General features: G+C 37.2%; 1 protein-coding gene across 10 annotated transcripts in view; it reads right to left on the bottom strand.

Moving 5' to 3' along the window:
- Nucleotides 1–20,804, bottom strand: part of TMEM117 (transmembrane protein 117) — a 603,307-nt gene that overhangs the window by 95,507 nt on the left and 486,996 nt on the right. For all 10 annotated transcript variants that reach the window (XM_047429662.1, XM_047429665.1, NM_032256.3 and 7 more), the window contains one exon: nucleotides 3,863–4,022. In XM_047429662.1, coding sequence (XP_047285618.1) covers nucleotides 3,863–4,022 — 160 coding nt within the window. The remainder of the gene's footprint in view (nucleotides 1–3,862; nucleotides 4,023–20,804) is intronic.

Here is a 20,804-nt window from a genome sequence, read left to right as displayed (position 1 = left end):
TGTGAGTCACGTTACACTTTGCTGGTATCTGTTTATGCCCTAGTTCTAGTGAGTTTACTAAAACCACAGAAAAATGTGATACAACAATAAAGGTAGAAAAATCCTATTTAGTAAATATCTATAAAAATTAATGATTTACTTTCTCTAAAAGTATTCAGAACTGGCCTGCTAATTTTATTAAAAATAATAAAAAGAACTTTACAAAAGTAGCACCAAATTCTAATGGTTTCTTTTAAAAAAAAATTACAATACCAGCTGGGCACGGTGGCTCATGCCTGTAATCCCAGCACTTTGGGAGGCCGAGGTGGGCGGATCACCTGAGGTTGGGAGTTCGGGACCAGCCTGACCAACATAGAGAAACCCCATCTCTACTAAAAAAAAAAATACAAAATTAGCCAGGTATGGTGGTGCATGCCTGTAATCCCAGCTACCTGGGAGGCTGAGGCAGGAGAATCGCTTGAACCCAGGAGGCAGAGGTTGCAGTGAGCCGAGATCACGCCATTGCACTCCAGCCTGGGCAACAAGAGTGAAACTCCATATCAGAAAAAAAAAAAATACAATACCTTTCTATAGTATAAGTGGAATTTTCCTACCAATAGAGAACCTAGGATCGACTGCTTTCAAATCATTTAAATAATTCTAATAAGGACAGGTGTTTCAGTGACACTAATTTTACTTCTTTATTTTTCTTTCATCTGGAATATGTAAATATGGGATGAATTAGAACACAGTTTAGTTGGTTGTGAACTTGTTAGGATATTTGTCTTATATATTTTCAAATGTCTTGAGTACATATGCTTTCTGGGGCTCTGTTTCCTTAAATTAACTCTCTTACCACATGTACTAGTTCCTACAACTTCTACATGATGCTCACAAAGAGGGATACAGTTTGCACATGACTCAGTGCTTAGCTGTCACTTCTTTATCCTCATCAAGCAGTTATTACTCTGGGCCTACTCCTGCCATGTAAGGCACTTTGCTTGGGAAGCTCCATGGATATGAAGAGTTATAAGGAAAAAGTGACATATTGATTTGCAGTTCAGGTAAAAAGTGCTACAGGAGTTCTGAAGAGGAAGTGATCACATGACTTTAATGAAGAGAAAGTTGAAATGGTCTCCAATGGTAGGATCCAAATGAGCAGAACAGAAAAGGCACAATCTGTAGAGGAACAAGAGACTCCTGACACTGGGGAATAAGTATGCTGTGGGCAAATGCCCAGCAGCAAATATGTTGATCTGGGTGGAACTAGAGCATAGAAGACGTGGGAGAATACAGAGTCAGGGCCAGACCATGGAGGGCACTCAGAGAGCTCCCAGAGGCTGGACTCTCCTCTCGGACAATGAGGAGTCATGGACAATATCTAGGGCTGAGAAGTGTAAAACATGACATTTCCAACTGGAAGGTTATGAAGAAGAGCTGCATAGGGCATATGGTACGTGGATGTGTGGTGGCAGAAGATCCATAGGAGATTAAATAGTATAGAGGGGAGTCAAGACTGGAATGGTGGCAAGGAAACGAGAAAGAAGAATGATATTAAAGGCATAAAGATAAATCAGTAGGCCTGGCTAGCTGACTTAGTGTTAGGGGAGACAGAAAAGAAGAAGTTAAGAGACCTAAATTTTGGGGCTAATTTTTTACTCATCTTTATATTAGAAACCTACTAATTTGGAGTTATAGCCCAACCTCTCTCCCCTTTTCTTTCAGATGACCTCATCACCATAGCCTCCCATGCTGAGCCCATGAGTTTCTCCAATTCCTTCCTAGGAAATCTGGAATCAGGCCTGACAGCTAGAGGGTGATTGCCCTCTGAGGTGTCGGCAGTAGCCATTTTCTTCCATTTGAACGAGAAACCTGGAAAGGCCATTTTACAATAAGAGAAAAAAAAAGAGAAGGCAAAAACAAAAAAGATAAGAGATGGAAAATAAATGCTAGGTCTGGATTCCCTGTTACACCCTGGTCTCTGCTTTCATGTGTCCCTAGAGGCAACTACATCCCTCCTCTTGAATTGGGTAGGATATCCCTAAAATGCAGCAATACATTCCTCCTTTGATTAAGTTAGCTTGGCCGGGTTATTGCTACTTGTAGCCAAAATGGTCCAAACTTAAATATTCCTCAGCATAAACTCTTCATCGTCGGTCATTTGGTGCTCTGACTACTCTCTGAACACTTCAGCATGTTATTAACATTTTACATTGTTATGATATTTTTTCATCTAGAATGTCTTTCCCTTCCCCTTTGCTGACTCTGCCTATGTAAATCCTGACTATCCTTTCTTTCTTCCATCTGTCTTTATTAAGCAGTTTTTGAGTGAATCCATAATATCTGTAAATTACAATGTTATATTTTCCCACTTGAAGTCCTTGATTTTAGTGAACTTATTGGAAGAATACTGAAAACTTACACAAACAGAGTAGAAGCATGAGGATGGTAATGGACAATCAAAGAATTTATGCTCTCAAATATATGAATGTAAGCAAATTCAATTAGACAACAGTCTACTGGGCTACTAATACCATTGACTTTAAGATGGGTTCAGAGAGGTATCAGTAGGCCATCTGGCCAATGTGGACATTTTACAAGAGAAATTATATTAGTTAGGAAATAGAGGAAGATAAAAATAGCCTTTATATAAGTAATGCATGATACATTATTGCATAAGTGCTAAAAATTCAATTCTGTAGATACCCATGGGACGTCCTACAGCTTAGTGACAGGCAGATCTAGAACCTGCCAGTGCTGTCTAACTCAAAGTCAGATTGGAAAGTTTTTTCCATTGCTATTTCAGGAAATAAGAAATTTATCAATTTTCAAATGCAACAAAAATATTCCGTTTTACCTCTTTAAATAATTTTTAAAAATGATAGTGTATTTTAAAATATTATCCATTAAAGTAGTAATATACTCAAAGAACCATCTTGAACCTAATGCCCAAGATATATTATTTAACAAATTTAAAAAAAATCAATAAATAAACTGTTATTCTCTTTTGAGACAACACTGAATATCTCTCATAAAGGCCTCTTTTTGCCTCTAGAAATGAGAAAACCAATCTGCTATCCTGTGAAATCTCACATAAATTCAGAATACAGTGGAGTATTCCTTCAGTAATTGTAGTCTTTGGTCTGGTGACTTACAATGCCTCAGGAGGGAAAAAAATTGCCTTATGAAAGCAATAAGAAAATGTCTAACAAATGGATGGATATTTAATGAGCAAGAAATAGCTAGTGTCTCTTTCTGCCCCATTCAAAAGAATAGTCCTAAAACGCCAAAGAGTCACACCAGATTACATGAGTAACACTGGTTAGTGTGATGCTATTGTATGAAAAATCTGTTGCTAAGCAGGGCAGAAATATGGTTTACATGAAAATGGAATGATCTCTGGTGAATACTGAAAGAAAGTAACAATTTCCATAACCAGAAAAAGAATTTTTACATCACTTCATTTCAACTGCTATAAAACCCTGAGTTGCTTTGACAATTGCTTTTCCCTGCTTTGCTGCTTTTATATAATCCTCATGTCTGCAGCTTTCCATTTACTAAATGACAAGGATTTTTGGTTTTTGTTTCTGAGTGTGTTTTTTTTCCCCCTAAAGCCTAGGCAGAAAATACCAATGTGCTATATGGTTTCTAGGGGCCCACCTTGCAATGTTCATAAAATACATTTTTGGTGCCCCTCTTATAAAAGTCCAATTGGCTTTCCCTCCCAGTATAATAGCTGAAAATATAAACAGAGAAGGCCCCATCAAAAGTAACTGTAAATGCTGTACTTATTTAGATTTATGGAGCCTGTTGCCATATCCTGTTTGTTATACTGGGAACAGAGCATGCAGCAGCTTCACTGAGGGGAGGGAAATACACTTACCTGCATCACAATAAGAAGGTCAAAGACCAAGATAAAAGAAGCAAGGAATGCTCTGGAAACTTCATCACTGGGCAAAAATCCCCGATTCAGCTTGTCCCAGCTGATCCAGTCCGTTGTAATCACAAGTACAACCACAGACGTCAGAGTAAAAAGAACTGTCCTGTAAGGAACAAGACACTCATTAAAGAACATAAGGCATAAAATATAGATACTAGAGAGTGCATGTTATCTGTGTTGTATTAAATGTCTGCCCCTTGGCAAGCACCTACCCTAAGGTATATTAGCCAAAAGGAAGATGAAAAAAGTTGGCCGGGCATGGTGGCTCATGCCTGTAGTCCCAGAACTTTGGGAGCCCAAGGCAGGTGGATCACCTGAGGTCAGGAGTTCGAGACAAGCCTGTCCAACACGGTGAATCCCTGTCTCTACTAAAAATACAAAAAAATTAGCCAAACGCAGTGGTGTGCGCCTGTAGTCCCAGCTACTTGGGAGGCTGAGGCTGGAGAATCACTTGAACCTGGGAGGTGGAGTTTGCAGTGAGCCGAGATTGCGCCACTGCACTCCAGCCTGGGTGACAGAGCGAGACTCCATCTCAAAAAAAAAAAAAAAAAAAATTAAATGCCTTCTATCAAAAGCAGTTTTCCCCAAAGAACATTAAGATAATAATTATGGAACAAATAATTAACAACAACAATATTAAAAATGACTTTGGTTAGTGCAGTAAGTGTCCCAAGAAAACATTGGTGTGTAGCTCTTAGTAAACCTGTACATTGTTTACCAAGGGTAGTGGACATGCAATGTAAGAAGATAAGGCAGATGGTGAATGGGTGAGGAAATCTTTGGATTCCATTATCCTTCTACAAAAGAGAGGGATAGTTAGACCAGACTCATCACCATCTCTAAGACTTGATAAGCTCCATACAGGGACCACCTCTAAAAGCCAATAATGTAGCCTGTTCTCATAGGACATATATCATCCATGGCTTGTGGTCTAGTGACCTCTCTCCATGTCAGAGCAACTGCTCCCTGCTAGATAAGATACTAGGAGCCTGACATTTTCTCTTATCTATCTTTGTAGCCCCCATAAAATCTTGCATAAGTATACACAGATGGAATTCAATGAGGGTTAGTTGAAACTAAAGCATTTTTAAAAATCAGAAAAATACTCAAATTAGTCTTTAATGCTGACTTTTAAAGTAGATCTGAAATGTGGGTGATGAAAATTTGATCTGCCAGAGAATTGTCCATAATGTAGTTAAGCCTGTGCTTTTCAGGGCTATATTGATGGCTAGATATTGTTTAGAATTATAAGAAGAAAAAAAAAAACAATTACTTGAAATAAATTTAATCAGATAAAAATGCAAGAAAGAAAAGGGAAATAAAGGAAAACAGAAGAAAAAACATAGAGGTGAAATAACATTGTAGAACACATATCCGTTTTGGCAATTAACAAAACCGTTTTTGCCCTCTAATGTCTTATAATAATTGAAACTCATATAAAATAATATGAATCTTCATAGAATTCTCTTTTCAATTGTACATAGTGTAAACCTCTAAGCCAAAAATTTGGTTTTCCTTTTCACAATTTCTTATTTGAGGCAAGTTATACTTTAATATAATGGATATAAAGAAACACTTCTTATGTTTTTTTTTCTCCTCATGAATGGAAAGATACATTATTTTTTAAAATTTTAGAAAATAAACATTCCTATTAAACCTCATTATTTTATTAAAATTGCAAACTTTCAAAAGAATTTGACTCACGACCTCTAAAATATAAAATACAGATTGTCTCCTGCTGTGGTGTAGAGTAACTTTGATCACAAAAATTCAAATGAATTAAATAAGCATGGGAGAAGTTCTAACTAATTATTATAACTCAATAGATAGAAATTGCAAGTATTATGTAATAAGAATAGTGGGATTTAAGCAAAATTTTCTCCAGGTTAAGTCTATGTGTTTTTGATTTTGTTTTCTTGAGCTTGAGAAACCTCAAACAACTCTGAATGAAATCACCACAATTTCTTTTTTCAAGAAGGAATATAGCAACCTTGATGAAGAATAAATATTGATTATTATTCAAAGTTTTTTGGTAGTAAGGGTATTTTCTTATCATTCTTGGCTTTTCAAATGCATTTCCCACAAGGATGCTATAAATATATACACTTTACAGGAATGCACTCATATGGCTGTATAGGTTGGTAAATAGTTGGGGCTCCAATTTCCTTATATCCCACTTTCTTTTTCTCCCCAGCCTCCTTCACAGAGCCTCTCACCTCCCTGTTATCCAGCACTGCCTGGTTAACCTCTGGTGAAACAAGGGTACTCTAGTACCTCACTCTAATTCTATAGCCAGTGTCTATTCTATTGGTCAGAGCCTGTGCTCTGTGGTATTTTTAATATCATTACTGTATTTTCACCTGGAACCCCCTTTAGTAAAGACAGTTGATTAAGAAGAATTAATACTCTAATATTACTTCATAGGTCTAAAAATGTAAACTGATACTGTAAAATTAAATATTTATTCAGAGGCACATTTTTAGGTGTGAAAGTCTAGGAGTTTGGAATAAGTGTCTGCTGAGAAATTAGAAACCTCATCTAGTACAATATTTATAAAGGAACTATTCTAGGAGTCAGCAAGATAGCAGAATAGGAGATCCTCTACTCATATCCTCCCACAGAACAATAATTTGGCAGCTATCTATGGAAAAAAGTGCCTTTTTCGAGCTTTGGATTCAGATACGAAGTCCAAGACTGATCAGGGCTGTCTGAGAGGGCAGGCTTGTACCCAGTTGCCAGGCTTATGAACAGTGGTCCTGGATACAGACCCAGAAACAGCCTCAGCCCCCTATGAACTTGGCTACAACTCCATTTGGCCTTTGTCCTGCCACCAGAATCATCCACCAAGGAATGAGGGAGGAGTCATGCCCACATGCACTTTGTACAACAGACCGGCTGATCTCAGCCCTAGCTGTCGACCATAAAGAGGCCCTGTAATTCAGCTCTAGCCATTCTCACCTGTAGTCTGACAGCATTTCTTCCCACACAGGGACCTGCCAGGAGATATGCCCATTCATGCCCTGGTGGCAGTCCCACCAACTTTGGTCCCACTGTAGATGCTGAAAGAGCCCTTTAACTTGGTTCCAGCTCCTCTCAGCTGTGATCTGAGAGCAGTTCTGCCCACCAAGGGACTTTATAGGAAACATGCTTATCCATGCTCCCAGAAATAGGCCTCAGGCTGAATGTAGATCCTGAAGTAGACCTGTGACCCAGCTCCAGCCCTGCTCGGCTGCAGTCAGGGGCAGTCTTGCCCAATCAAGAACCTGGCAGGAGGTACATTTGTCTGTGACCCTGGAGAGAGACCTAAAAACACTGAACTCAGCTGTGGACCCTGAAGCACACTCTCTAACTCAGTTCTAGCCCCTCTCAGCCATAGTCCAGGACCAGTTCTGCCTGACCAAGGATCCACCTAGTGACCCAGTGGGAGCCCTCTTAAGAACCTGGAGAGAAAGACACCGAATAGTATACCTGGTAATAGGCCTACCATCTGTGGAGCCAACTGTGGAATCTAAAGCACACCCTTGCCCTAGTGTCTGTTCTACTGCCCAAAGTCCAATCTGTCTTGAGACCAGACAGGATCCATATACACTCTGCTCCTTGTAAGAACCAGCAAAAGTCTCGTGACCCAGTTAAAATTCCAGTCGACTGTGGTCCCAAAACCAATCCTAGCAGGCTGGGAACCCTACAGGAGAAGGTCAATATCTGCCAAAGCCAATCTGTAAAGACTTGAACAGGTATTTGTTCCTTCAAATGCAGACACAAAGGCAAAGCTACACAGACAATAAAGAATTAGATAAACATGACACCACAGAAGGAAACTAATAAGCACCAGTAACAACCCCAAAGAAATTGAGATCTATGAACTGTCTGACAAAGAATTCAAAACAATCATATTAAAGAAGATCAATGGGATGGAAGAGGAAACAGACAACTAAATGAAATCAGAAAAACAATGCATGGACAAAATTAGAAGTTCATAAAAAATAGAAACCATAAAAAAAAAAACAGAAATCCTGGATTGAAGAATACAATAATAGAACTGAAAAATTCAAAAGAGAGCTACAATATCATATTTAATCATGGAGAAGAAAAAAATATCAAACTTAAAGACAGGTCACATGAAATTAGCCAGTTAGAGGAATGACAATTAAAAAAGAGTAAAGACAGCATACTAGGCCAAGCGTAGTGGCTTATGCCCGTAATCCCAGCACTTTGGGAGGCCAAGGCAGGTGGATTGCTTGAGGTCAGGAGTTCGAGACCAGCCTGGGCAACACAGTGAAACCCTGTCTCTTAAAAAAAGAAAAAAGAAAATTCAGCCAGGCATAGTGGCCTGCGCCTGCAGTCCCAGCTACTCGGGAGGCTGAGGCAGGAGAATCACTTGAGCCCAGGAGGCAAAGGTTGCAGTGAGCCAAGATCACACCACTCAACTCCAGTCTGGGTGACAGAGCAAGACCCTGTCTCAAATAAATAAATAAATAAATACAATATATATAGAAAGAGAGCATACTAACCTATGGGTACCATCAAGATAATAAATACGCGATTTATGAAAGTCACAGGAGAAGAGAGAAAGAAAGAAACAGAAGGCTTAAAGAAATAACGTCTGAAAACTTCCCAGAGGGATACAGACATCCAGATTTATGAAGCTCAAAGAATCTAAAGAAGGACCCACCCAGAGAATATTTTTCTGAGACACATTACAGTAGTTCCCCTTTATCTGTGGTTTCACTTTCAATGCTTTCATTTACCTACAGTCAGTCAACCACAGTTTGAAAATACTATACGGAAAATTCCAGAAATAAACAATTCACAAGTTTTAAATTGCATTCTGTTCTGAGCAGAGTGATGAAATCTAACTCTGTCCTGCTCTTTCTTGTCCAGGATGTGGATTATCCCTTTTTCCAGGATATGACACTGAGTATGCTAACAGTCATTTAGTCACTTAGTAGCCATCTGTTATCAGATTGACTGTGTGGTATTGCAGTTTGTGTTCAAGTAATACTTCTTTTACTTAATAATGGCTCCAAAGCACAAGAGTAGTGATGCTGGCAATTTGGATATGCCAAAGAGAAGCCATCAAGTGGAAAGGTGAAAGCTCTTGACTTAGTAAAGAAAGAAAAAAAATGGTATGCTGAGTTTCCCAAGATCCATGGTAAGAACAAATCTTCTACCCATGAAATTAAGAAGAAAAAATGGAAATTCATACTAGTTTCCATTTGCTGTTGCACTTCAGACTGCAGAAGTTATGGTCACAATGTGTGATAAGCAAAGATGGAAAAGGCATTAAATTTGTTTGTAGAAGACATGAACAGAAACAGGTTCCAACTGATGGCAATTGGATTCAGTACTATCCACAGTTTCAGGCATCCACTGGGAATCTTAGAATTTATTCCTCACAGATAGAGAGGGAATACTTTATGATCAAATTGACTAAAGTCTTCAATAAAGAGGGAAACTTTAAAGCAGCAAGGGAAAAGAGACTCATCACAAAGAAGGGTACCCTGATAAAACTATTGGTGAACATCTCCATAAAAAACCTTGAAAACCAGGAGAGAGTGGAATGATATATTCAAAGTGTTCAGGAAACGAAGAGTTAAAAAAGAATGCTATATCCAACAAGGCTGTCTTTCAGAAATGTAGGAGAGAGAAGGACTTTTCCACAGAAGCTAAGGCTAAGGGAATTCATTGCCACTAGATCTGACTTTTAAAAGAATGCTGAAGGTAGAACTTAATGCTAAATTGAACTGAAAAGATGCTAATTAACAAAATAAAAATATCTGAATGTATAAGATTCCCTAGTAAAGTTAAAAATATAGTCAAGTTCAGAATATTGTAATAGTTGTATATAAACCACTTGTTAACTTTAGAGTAAAAGTTAAGAAACAAAAGTATTAAAAATAACTATAGATACACTAGTTTGTTAAAGATATACAATATAAAGAGATGCACGGTGTGACATCAATAGCATAAAACGTTGACTGGGGAGTAAAAGTGTAGAGTGTTTGTATGCAACTGAAGTCAAGTTCTTATCAACTTAAAATGGAATGTTATAAGATCTTTTACGCAAGCCTCATTGTAACCACAAAGAAAAAACCTCTAGTAGACACACAAAAGACAAAAAGGAATTAAAAATATAAGATTATAGGAAATCATCAAAATACAAAGAAAGACAGCAGGAGAAAAAGAAAGGAACAGAAGAATAGCAAAACATTTTAAAAAGTGGAAGTCATAAGTCTTTACCTATCAATAATTAGTTTAAATGTAAACGGATTACATTCTTCAATCTAAAAATGCAGAGTGGCTGAATAGATTCAAAAAGCAAAAACAAGAGCCCATTATAAGCTGCCTATAAGAGAATCATTTTAGTCTTAAGGACACACATATGCTGAAATGTAGGAATGGGAAAAGACATTCTAATCAAATGGTAACCAAAAGACAGCAGGGGTGGATATATTCAAATTAGACAGAATGGACTTTCAGTCAAAATCTGTTACAAGAAACAAAGATGGTCATTATATAATAACAAGTGTCAATATATAAAGAGAATGTAACAATTTTGTATATATATATATCCAGTACCAGAGCATCTAAACATACAAGGCAACTACTAACAGAACTGAAAAAAAAGAGACAGCAATACAATAATAATAGGGGACTTCAATTTCTATTTGCAACAATGAATAGATCATACAGATCAAAATCAACAACGAAACAATGGACTTGAATAACACCATACACCAAATGACTAACAAATATATTCAAAACATTCCATCTGAAGCAGCAAAATGAACCTTCTTCTCCAGCATACATGGAACATTCTTCAGGATAAGATCATATATTAAGCCACAAAACAGCACTTTATCTTTTCTGACCACAATAGTATGAAACCAGAAATCAGTAACAGGAAGATTTTGTAAAATTCACAAGCATATGAAAATTAAACAACATGCTACCTGAACAACCAATGGGTCAAAGAAGAAATCAAAAGGGAAATCAGAAAGTATCTTGAGACCACAAAAAATAAAAACAGAACGTACCCAAACTGATAGGATGCAGCAAATACAGTTCTAAGAGGGAAGTTTATAATCATAACTGCCTATAATAAGCATAAAGAAAGATCCCAAATAAAACGCTAAATTTTATACCTCAAGGAACTAGGAAAAGAAGAACAAACTAAACTAATGCCAAAGTTAGTAGAAGATAGGATGTAACAAAGATCAGAGCAAAAATAAATCAAATAGAGACTAATAAAACAATGAAATACCAACAAAGCTAAAACTTGGTTTTTTGAAAATATAAACAAAATTGATAAACCTTTAGCCATACCAACCAAGAAAAAAAGAAGGGACTCAAATAAAATTATAAATAAAAGGGAAGACATTACAACTGATACCACAGAAATACAAAGGGTCATAAGAGACTACTCCGAATAATAATATTCCAACAAATTGGATAACCTGGAATAAGGATAAATTCCTAGAAACATACAAGTTACCAAGACTGAATAATGAAGAAGTAGAAAACCTGAACAGACCGATCATGAGTAAAAACCTCTAAAGAAAAGCCTAAAACCTGATAGCTTCACAAGTGAATTATATCAGATATTTAAAGAGGAATTAGTATCAATCCTTCTCAAATTCTTCTAAAAATTCAGAAGGAGAGGATACCTCCAATCTCATTTTAAGAAGCTAGCATTATTCTGATACTAAAGCCAGATATGGATACTACAAAAAAAGAAAATCATAGGTCAATATTCCTAATGAATATAAATACAAACATTTTTAAGAAAATGTAATCAAACCAAATTAATAACACTTTAAAAGAATACCATGATCAAATGACATTTATCCTTGGCAAGCAAGGATATGTTAGCTTACACAAATCAATAAATGTGATGCATCACATTAAGAGAATAAAGGATACAAATCATATGATCATCTCAAATGCAGAGAAAGCATTTGATAAAATTCAGCATTATTCCATGATAAAAACTCTCAACTAATAAGGTACAGAAGAAATGTACCTCAAAAGAACTAAGGCTATATATAACAACCTCTCAACCAACGTTGTACTTAACAATGAAAAGATGAAAGCTTTTACTTTAAGATCAGGAACAAGAAAAGATGCCCACCCTCATCATTTCTATTTAACATGGTACTGAAAGTCTAGCCAGAGCAATTAGGCAAGAAAATGAAATAAAAGATATCCAAATCAGAAAGGAAGAAAAACTGTTTCTGATTGCAGATAACATGATCTTACATACAGGAAACCCTAAAGACTCCACCAAAAAAAAAAAAAAAAAAAAAAACTGTTAGAACTAATAAACAAATTGAGTAAAGTTGCAGGACAAAAAAATCAACATACAAAAGTTAGCTGTGTTTCTACATACTAATAATAAACCATCTAAAAAGAATCAAAACAATCCACTTTACAAAAGAATAATAAAGAATAAAATTCTTGCAAATAAATTTAACGAGAGGTGAAAGATCTGTACACTGAAAATTGTAAGATGTTGATGAAAGAAACTGAAGAGACAAATAAATGGAATACTTCCTATCTTCAGAGATGGGAATAATTAATACTGCTAAAATATCCATATTACCCAAATAAATCTACAGATTCAATGTAATCCCTATAAAAATTCCAATGGCATTTTTCAAAGAAATCAGAAAAACATTTCTAAAATTAATATAAAACTATAGAAGATGTTGAATAGCCAAACGAATCTTGGGAAAGTACAGCAGGGCCAGGCACAGTAGCTCATGCCTAAAATATCAGTGCTTTGGGAGACCAAGGTAGGAGGATCTTGAGATTGGAAGTTCCAGACCACCCTGGGTAACATAGTGAGACCTCGCTTTTATATATAAAAAATTAATAACCAGCTGGGGCTGATGGTGCATGCTTATAGCCCCAGCAACTCCAGAAGCTGAGGTGGGAGGATTGCTTGAGTCCAGGAGTTTGAGTTTGCAGTGAGCTATGACTAAGCCATTGCACTGCAGCCCAGGTGACAAAGAGAGACACTTGTCCTTAAAAAATAAAAAAGAACAAAACTGGAGGTGTCACACCTTCTGATTTCAAATTATGTTACAAAGCTACAGTAATCAAAACAGTATGCTACTGGCATAAAAATGAGATACATAGACCAATAGAACAGAGAGCCAGAAATAAACCCATACATAGACAGTCAACTAATCTTTGACAAAAGCACTAAGAATACAAAGAGAATGGCATTGTGATAAATGAATATCCACATACAAAAGAAAGAAATTAGACACCTACATCATACACAAATATTAACTCAAAATGGATTAAAGACTTAAATGTAAGGCCTGAAATCATAAAACTCTTATAAGAAAACAGGGAAAAAGCTCCTTGACATTCGTATTGGCAATGATTTTTTGTATATGACACAAAAAGCAGAGGCAAAAAAATAAAAATAAGCAAACGGGATAACATCAAAGTAAGAAACTTATGTACTGCAAAAGAAACAATCACACTTATGTACTGCAAAAGAAATAAAAAGGCAAGCTATGAAATGGGAGATGGTTTTACAAACCTTGTATCTGACAAGGGGTTAATATTAAAAATATATAAGGAACTCATACAAGTTAATAGCAAAAAATGAAATAACCTGGTTAGAAAATGGGCAAGGGGTGTGAATAAACATTCTTCCAAAGAAAACATACAAATGCCCAACAGGTGTATTAAAAGGTGCTTTATCTCACTAATCATCTGGGAAATGCAAATTAAAACTACAATGACATATTGCTGTTAGAATGGTTATTATCAAAAAGACAAGGGATAACAAGTGTTGGTGATGGTGTTAAGAAAAGGGATCCCTAGACTCAGTGCAGTGGCTGTAATCCCAGCACTTTGGGAAGCTGAGGCGGGCGGATCAGGAAGGAGTTTGAGACCATCCTGGCCAACATAGTGAAACCCTGTCTCTACTAAAAATACAAAAAATTAGCCAGGCATGGTGGCGGGCGCCTGCAATCCCAGTTACTCGGGAGGCTGAGGCAGGAGAATCGCTTGAACCTGAGAGGCGGAGGTTGCAGTGAGCTGAGATTGTGCCACTGCACTCCAGCCTAGGTAACAGAGGGAGACTCTGTCTCAAAAAAAAAAAAAAAAAAAAGAGAAAAGAAAAGAAAACAGATCTCTTTTACATTGTTAGTGGGAATGGTAATGTAAATTGATTCAGCAAGTATGGCAAACAGTAAGGAGGTTCTTCAAAAAATTAAAAATAAAACTACTATACAATCCAGCAAATCCACTTCTGAATATATATCTAAAGGCAATTAAGTCAGTATCTTGATGAGATATCTGCACTTTCTTGTTCATATCATCATTATTCACAACAGCCAAGATGTAGAACCAACCTAAGTACCTATTAATGGATGAATGAAGAAAGAAAATGTTACACACACACACACACACACACACACACACACACACACACAAAATGGGATAGTATTCAGCCTTAAAAGAGATGAAATCCTTCCATTTGCAACAACATGGATGCACCTAAAGAACATTATGCTAAATAAAATAAGCCAGATATAGAAATACCCATACTGTATGGTATCACTTACATGTGATATCTGAAAAAGTAGAACTCATAGAAGCAAAGAGTAGAAGAACAGATATCAGGGATTATGAGTGGGGAAAATTGGGAGATGTTGTTTGAAGTGTACAAACTTTCAGTTATAAGTGAATAGGTTCTGAGGATCTAATGTACAGCATGGTGACTATAATTAATAATACTGAAGTTTTACTTGAAATTCACTAGGAAGGTAGGTATTGAGTGTCTTCACCACATGCATACATACATACACACACAATGGTTAACTATGTATGATGAATATGTTCATTAATTTGATTGTGTTGATACATGCATATGTATATTAAATCATGTTGTGCACTTTAAACATATACAATTTTGTTAATTATACCCCAATAAAGCTGAAAAAGGGAGTAATTCTTATTCATGCTAATTATCTCATTGTGAATAAAGTAATTAAAATTAGTAATTAAAACTTTTTTATAATTTGATAAGTACTTCGGTAATTAGAATTTATTGTAACATTTTGTGTGAGAGATTCCTGAGGCCAAATCAGCACCAATTCACCTCTTGGATGTTTTCATTATTTGACATATTTATATAATATAAAACACTCTTTCTAAGAGCTCTTGATACGTGGTTTTCTGGCTTTATAATGTACTTCCATTTTGACAAAGGGTATTGCTACAGATCTCAGGAAACAGTTACTGGTACCATTTTATTACTCCAAAGGGAAATTAAAGGAGGTATTCTGCCTGATATTTAATATTTAATTCTCCAAAAGGAATAAAAATGGCAATCATTAAATATCAATGCATACAGCTCAGAGAAAAAGACCTAAAAATAAAATCTCAAGAGAATGGAAAACAGAAAAGAGGGAGCAAAATACTTTAATTGGTCATATCACCTCCAAAATTATGCTCAGCGTCTTATGTAGATATAACTGCAGATGCAAATGTATTGTATTGCATGCCATTTGTTTTTCTGAGCCACTTCTTGTAAAATTGATAGACTTCACCATGCTATGATAATTCAGCCAAAACCAATACTTTTAAAGAGCCAGGGCTCAGTTAGTTAGGTCATATAAAAAGAGTCACTTTTCTGTAAAACTGCCATGCAGGAAATAGTAATAATAGCAAATTACTATTTCAGACATATGGCACTTAAGCCAAGCACTGGCATAAAGTCTTTATACAAATTAACCACCAATTAACTTATGTAATGTTTACTACTACCCCAATACCATCCCACCCAGTTTAAAAGTGCTGAAACTGAATCACAGGAAGTTTCAATAACTAAACCAAACTTATAACACATATTTTATAAATTATGTAACATATAAGATAGAAATGATGTAAGATGGTTCAAGTCCAGGCTGACTCATGACAGTTTTTGTCATAAGCACTGCACTGCAATGCCTTTCATAGGAAGCACTTGAATATTACCCTCCTGTTATTATGTTTGTAGCTAGGATTTCATTCATTTTCATTTTTCATTATAAGCATACTATTGTAAAATCATCATCCAGAAGTACTTAACATTGAAAAGTAAAGCTGACAGAGACTGTCAAGGACAGCAGGGAACAGTTAAAAGGAAATTTCATGGCAGTGAAAATGGAACCTCATGGATGTTGGCCATCAGTGCACCATCCTTGGGTTTTTATTTAACCAATATGGTGGAAAAGATGTTTAATCTGGACCATACTTCTTGGGGGGTTTCTACTTCTCTTTTTAAATAGTATCCAATTAAATAATTATCTGGATTACTTTCCTTTCAGGCTGCAGCCACTGCCAGCAAGACACGCTGGCTCATCAATTCCACCCTCTCTGGTTTCTGGCCTCTAGTCAAATGGAAAGAACTCATACATAATTATCAGCTTGAGTGGTTGGAATCTTCATTATAATGATTCCATATTTCCAGTTAGTCTATTTCCTTTTCCTCAATTGTTGCTAATACCTCTTAGGTTAATAGAAATTAGAATGTGAGACTAAGAAGGGTTAACAGAGCTTTTATAATCCAATGGTTCCTAACCTCTGGGGTGGGCTCCTGAGAATCACAGAGTTGTTGTTAAAAAAGTGTGAATGCATATGTGCACTAAGATCTCGGTAAAGTGAACAAATAAACTGCTTCCATAGAGGTTAGGCCACCTGCTTGTGTCACAGAGGCTGCCAGTGACAGAACTGATGAGAATTTACATCTATTGACAGTAAGGATTTGCTTTGTAGTAGAGTTCAAGTTTTGTAGTAGACCACCTTTTTTCTGTTCAGCTAAAAAGCTGCACAAATTCTCAAAAATATAATATCATCTTGATATCATTTGTTGGAAACATGCATTTTAGAGCCTACTCAATTGTTTATTATATATGGGATTAGAGACATAGTAGCACATGTAAATAAATCCAGATAATCTCCCAAAACAAGATTTAATTCATAGTCTTAACTGCTCCTTTATTCTAACTCCTGGGTTTTATAAAATACGGAACTTTTACTTTAGGTATCTAAATTTATGGATATTGTTTTCTTTCATTCATTACCACTTAAGATAGACTTCTTGAGTAGTCAGCCTGAAAGCAGTCATTAAATCAAAAGAGAGAGGAAGTGGTATTAGGTTTAGACAATCCACAAAGGGCTGACTCATTTATGGTGGTTAACTATCATGCAATTTAATTTTCATTAAACTGGTAGCAAAAATGTGCAGAATTACCTAATATAAGCTGATTGCCAAAATTTGACGATTTTTTTCTATCAAAAATAGAAACTTCATGTGATTCAACACAATAAAACATATTTATTATGTTTATATATATTATATATATAAAACTGTTTTAATACATTAACTATTATTCATGTTCTAAATGTTTATAATCTTTGATTCCAGTCATGAATATCATATTCCTTATGTTCATGCTGCACAGTTATTATAAAATCTTAAAGGAAATAAAAATAACTTTGATTTCTTTTTATAATACTAATGTTAAAATGTTGGAATGCAACCAAAAAAGTCAAATAATGTATCAGTTTCTTACAGAAAAATAAAAATCTGTGAATCTTATTAAATAGAAAGGTTTAAAGTGAAGTGGGATAGCAAACTTAAATTTACAATTAAATTATGATATAGTGTCACATATGAAAATGCTAAATACATGAAACAAAATATGGCATGACAATGGAATTTAAAACAATTAAATGTCATAATTTCTAACCATGTTGTTCATGAGAAAAAAATAAACAGGCAAAAGCAGAAGAATGCTTTCCTTCATTTTTCACTGCAAAACCAAGAACCAGTTCAAACATTCAGTTGCCTGTGAACACTAAGTACCAGCACACTGAAGTCACAGATGGCCATGAAAGAATGCCAACACTTTTCATTTTCCTTGTTTTAATGATCAATATTGTCACCTCAACTCTGTAACAAAAGCAATCACCACTCATGTACTCAAGCCAGTTTATCCTGAAATATGTGGGTTTACTGAACCCTGAAGCCCAGCTGATGAGGTCAACGTTGCTCTTTAGGAAGTAGGGAAGGAAGTGATTTGGTTCTCTTCTGGTTTCCTACTCTTGAGATCAGGAAATGTCGAGGGAGCACAAAGGTAATGTTTGCCAAGTGACCTAGTGAAAGAGTACAGCTTCTCCATATGGCTTTCAGTAAGTAAATGCTGCTGCTGTTTTTTGGCCAATCTGAACACATTTGTTAAGATAGCATCCTTGAGAACGGAGATGCAGTTATGAACTTATCTTGTTTGTGGCTCCATTGAGATCTGGAGTCTGTAAAGGAAATTACTAGACTCTAATGTTGTCCATTAAAGTACACATTTACGTGTTATTTATCTTTGTATATCTCTTTACTTCAACAAGAAAAGAACCCTGAGCACAGCAGCACCTCAAAAGTGTAAACAAAATAAAATGAAGGAACAACTTGGTAATGCTTGTTCTTGACAGGCCATAAAAGAGGTGGCTGAAAAAAATACGTCTGGGTTGGAGCATTTGGTCACTCAGATTGTAATGTATGTGAACAGTGTGCCAGCATCCTAATCTACGTAAATAAAGTCCCCTGGAGTTCTGCAGTGCCCAGCCACTGCAACTATGTTGGATCCTGCACATTGGCAATCTCCATATAAAAAGTGATGATTGAAATAATTGTATTTATTGTAGTGGCTTGAATTCCTCTACCTATATCTGAAGGATGTTAGTTTACTGAGAGGCACTTAAAAGTAGCTTATTGGTATAGAACATAGTTAATCTTGGTTAGGAAGAACCATTTTAGTTTCTCTGTGTTTCACAGTTTTAGGGTGTAGAATAAAAAATAGAAAAAAAATACCTAGTAGAATGCAAAGCCATTAGGAGATGGCCTATGCCATTTATTATTGATTACCAATGACTGCTACATTGCTGCTGCTTAATAACTAGTAGAATGAATAAATTCATCTATTTGACCTGAGGTGGAAAATGTTCATCCTTTATCATCCACCAAGCTGAGATGCTACTGCAAATAATGGTACATTCCTCTTTACAAAGCAAAGAGGCCTGTGCATTGCAAAATTAGGTTGGATGCACCTAATGGGCATGTTAATCCTGTGTGTCTCTTAGTAACTCACCAGCCCCATTTTTCTTACTACTGAATTACCTGGTACATGCTAAATTGTTCACCAGTTCAACAGAGGGAAATTGTATTAGTCTGTTTTCACACTGCTACTAAAGACATACCCGAGACTGGGAAGAAAAAGAGATTTAATTGGATTTACAGTTCCACGTGGCTGGGGAGGCTTCAGAATCATGGTGGGAGGTGAAAGTCACTTTTTTTGTTGTTTTTTTTTTGAGACGGAGTCTCGCTGTGTCACCAGGCTGGAATGCAGTGGCATGATCTCGGCTCACTGAAACCTCCACCTCTCGGGTTCAAGCAAGTCTCCTGCCTCAGCCTCCTGAGTAGCTGGGACTACAGGCTGCGCCACCATGCCCAGCTAATTTTTGTATTTTCAGTAGAGATGGGGTTTCACCATGTTGGCCAGGATGGTCTCCATCTCTTGACCTCATGGTCTGCCCGCGTCAGCCTCCCAAAGTGCTGGGATTACAGATGTGAGCCACCGCACCCGGCCAAAAGGCACTTCTTACATGGCCCCAGCAAGAGAAAAATGAGAAAGACACAGAAGTGGAAACCCTGATAAACACATCAGATCTCGTGAGACATATTCACCCTATCCTAAGAGTAGCACAGGAAAGACCAGCCCCCATGATTCAATTACCTAGCCCTGAGTCTCTCCCGCAACACGTGGGAATTCTAGGAGCTACAATTCAAGTTGAGATTTGGGTAGGGACACAGCCAAACCATATCATTCCGCCCGTGGCTCCTCTAAATCTCATGTCCTCACATTTCAAAACCAATCACGCCTTCCCAACAGTCTCCCAAAGTCTTAACTCATTTCAGCATTAACCCAAAAGTCCACAGTCTAAAGTCTCATCTGAGACAAGGCAAGTCCCTTCCGTCTATGAGCCTGTAAAATCAAAAGCAAGCTAGTTACTTCCTAGATACAATGGGGGTACAGGTATTGGGTAAATACAGCTGTTTGAAATGGGAGAAATTGGCCAAAACAGAGGGGTTGCAGAGCCCATGTAAGTCTGAAATCCAGTGGGGCAGTCAAATTTTAAAGCTCCAGAATGATCTCCTTTGATTCCAAGTCTCAAAATCAGGTCACGCTGATGCAAGAGGTGGGTTCCCATGGTCTTGGGCAGCTCCGCCCCTGTGACTTTGCAGTGGACAGACTCCCTCTTGGCTGCTTTCATGGGCTGGCGTTCAGTGTTTGTGGCTTTTCCAGGTGCATGGTGCAAGCTCTTGGTGGGTCTACCATTCTGGGTTCTGAAGGACGGTGGCCCTCTTCTCACAGCTCTACAAGGCAGTGCCCCAGTAGGGACTCTGTGTGCAGGCTCTGACCCCACATTTCCCTTCTGCACTGCCCTAGCAAAGGTTCTCCATGAGGGCCTCGCCCCTGCAGCAAACTTTTGCCTGGGAATCCAGGCATTTCCATACATCTTCTGAAATCTAGGCGGAGTTTCCCAAACCTCAATTCTTGACTTCTGTGTACCCACAGGCTCCACACCACGTGGGAGCTGCCAAAGTTTGGGGCTTCCGCCCTCTGAAGCCACAGCCTGAGCTGGACATTGGCCTCTTTCAGCCATGGCTGGAGTGGCTGGGTCACAGGGCACCAAGTCCCTAGGCTGCACACAGCACGAGGACCCTGGGCCCAGCCCACGAAACCACTTTCCTCCTGGGCTTCCGGACCTGTGATGGGGATGCTGCTGTGAAGGTCTCTGACACAGCCTGGAGATATTTTAC

Source organism: Homo sapiens, chromosome 12 (assembly GCF_000001405.40).
Source record: "Homo sapiens chromosome 12, GRCh38.p14 Primary Assembly".
Classification (NCBI taxonomy): Eukaryota; Metazoa; Chordata; class Mammalia; order Primates; family Hominidae; genus Homo; species Homo sapiens.
Note: the sequence above shows the minus strand (reverse complement) of the source record. Positions and strands in the feature narration are given on the sequence as shown.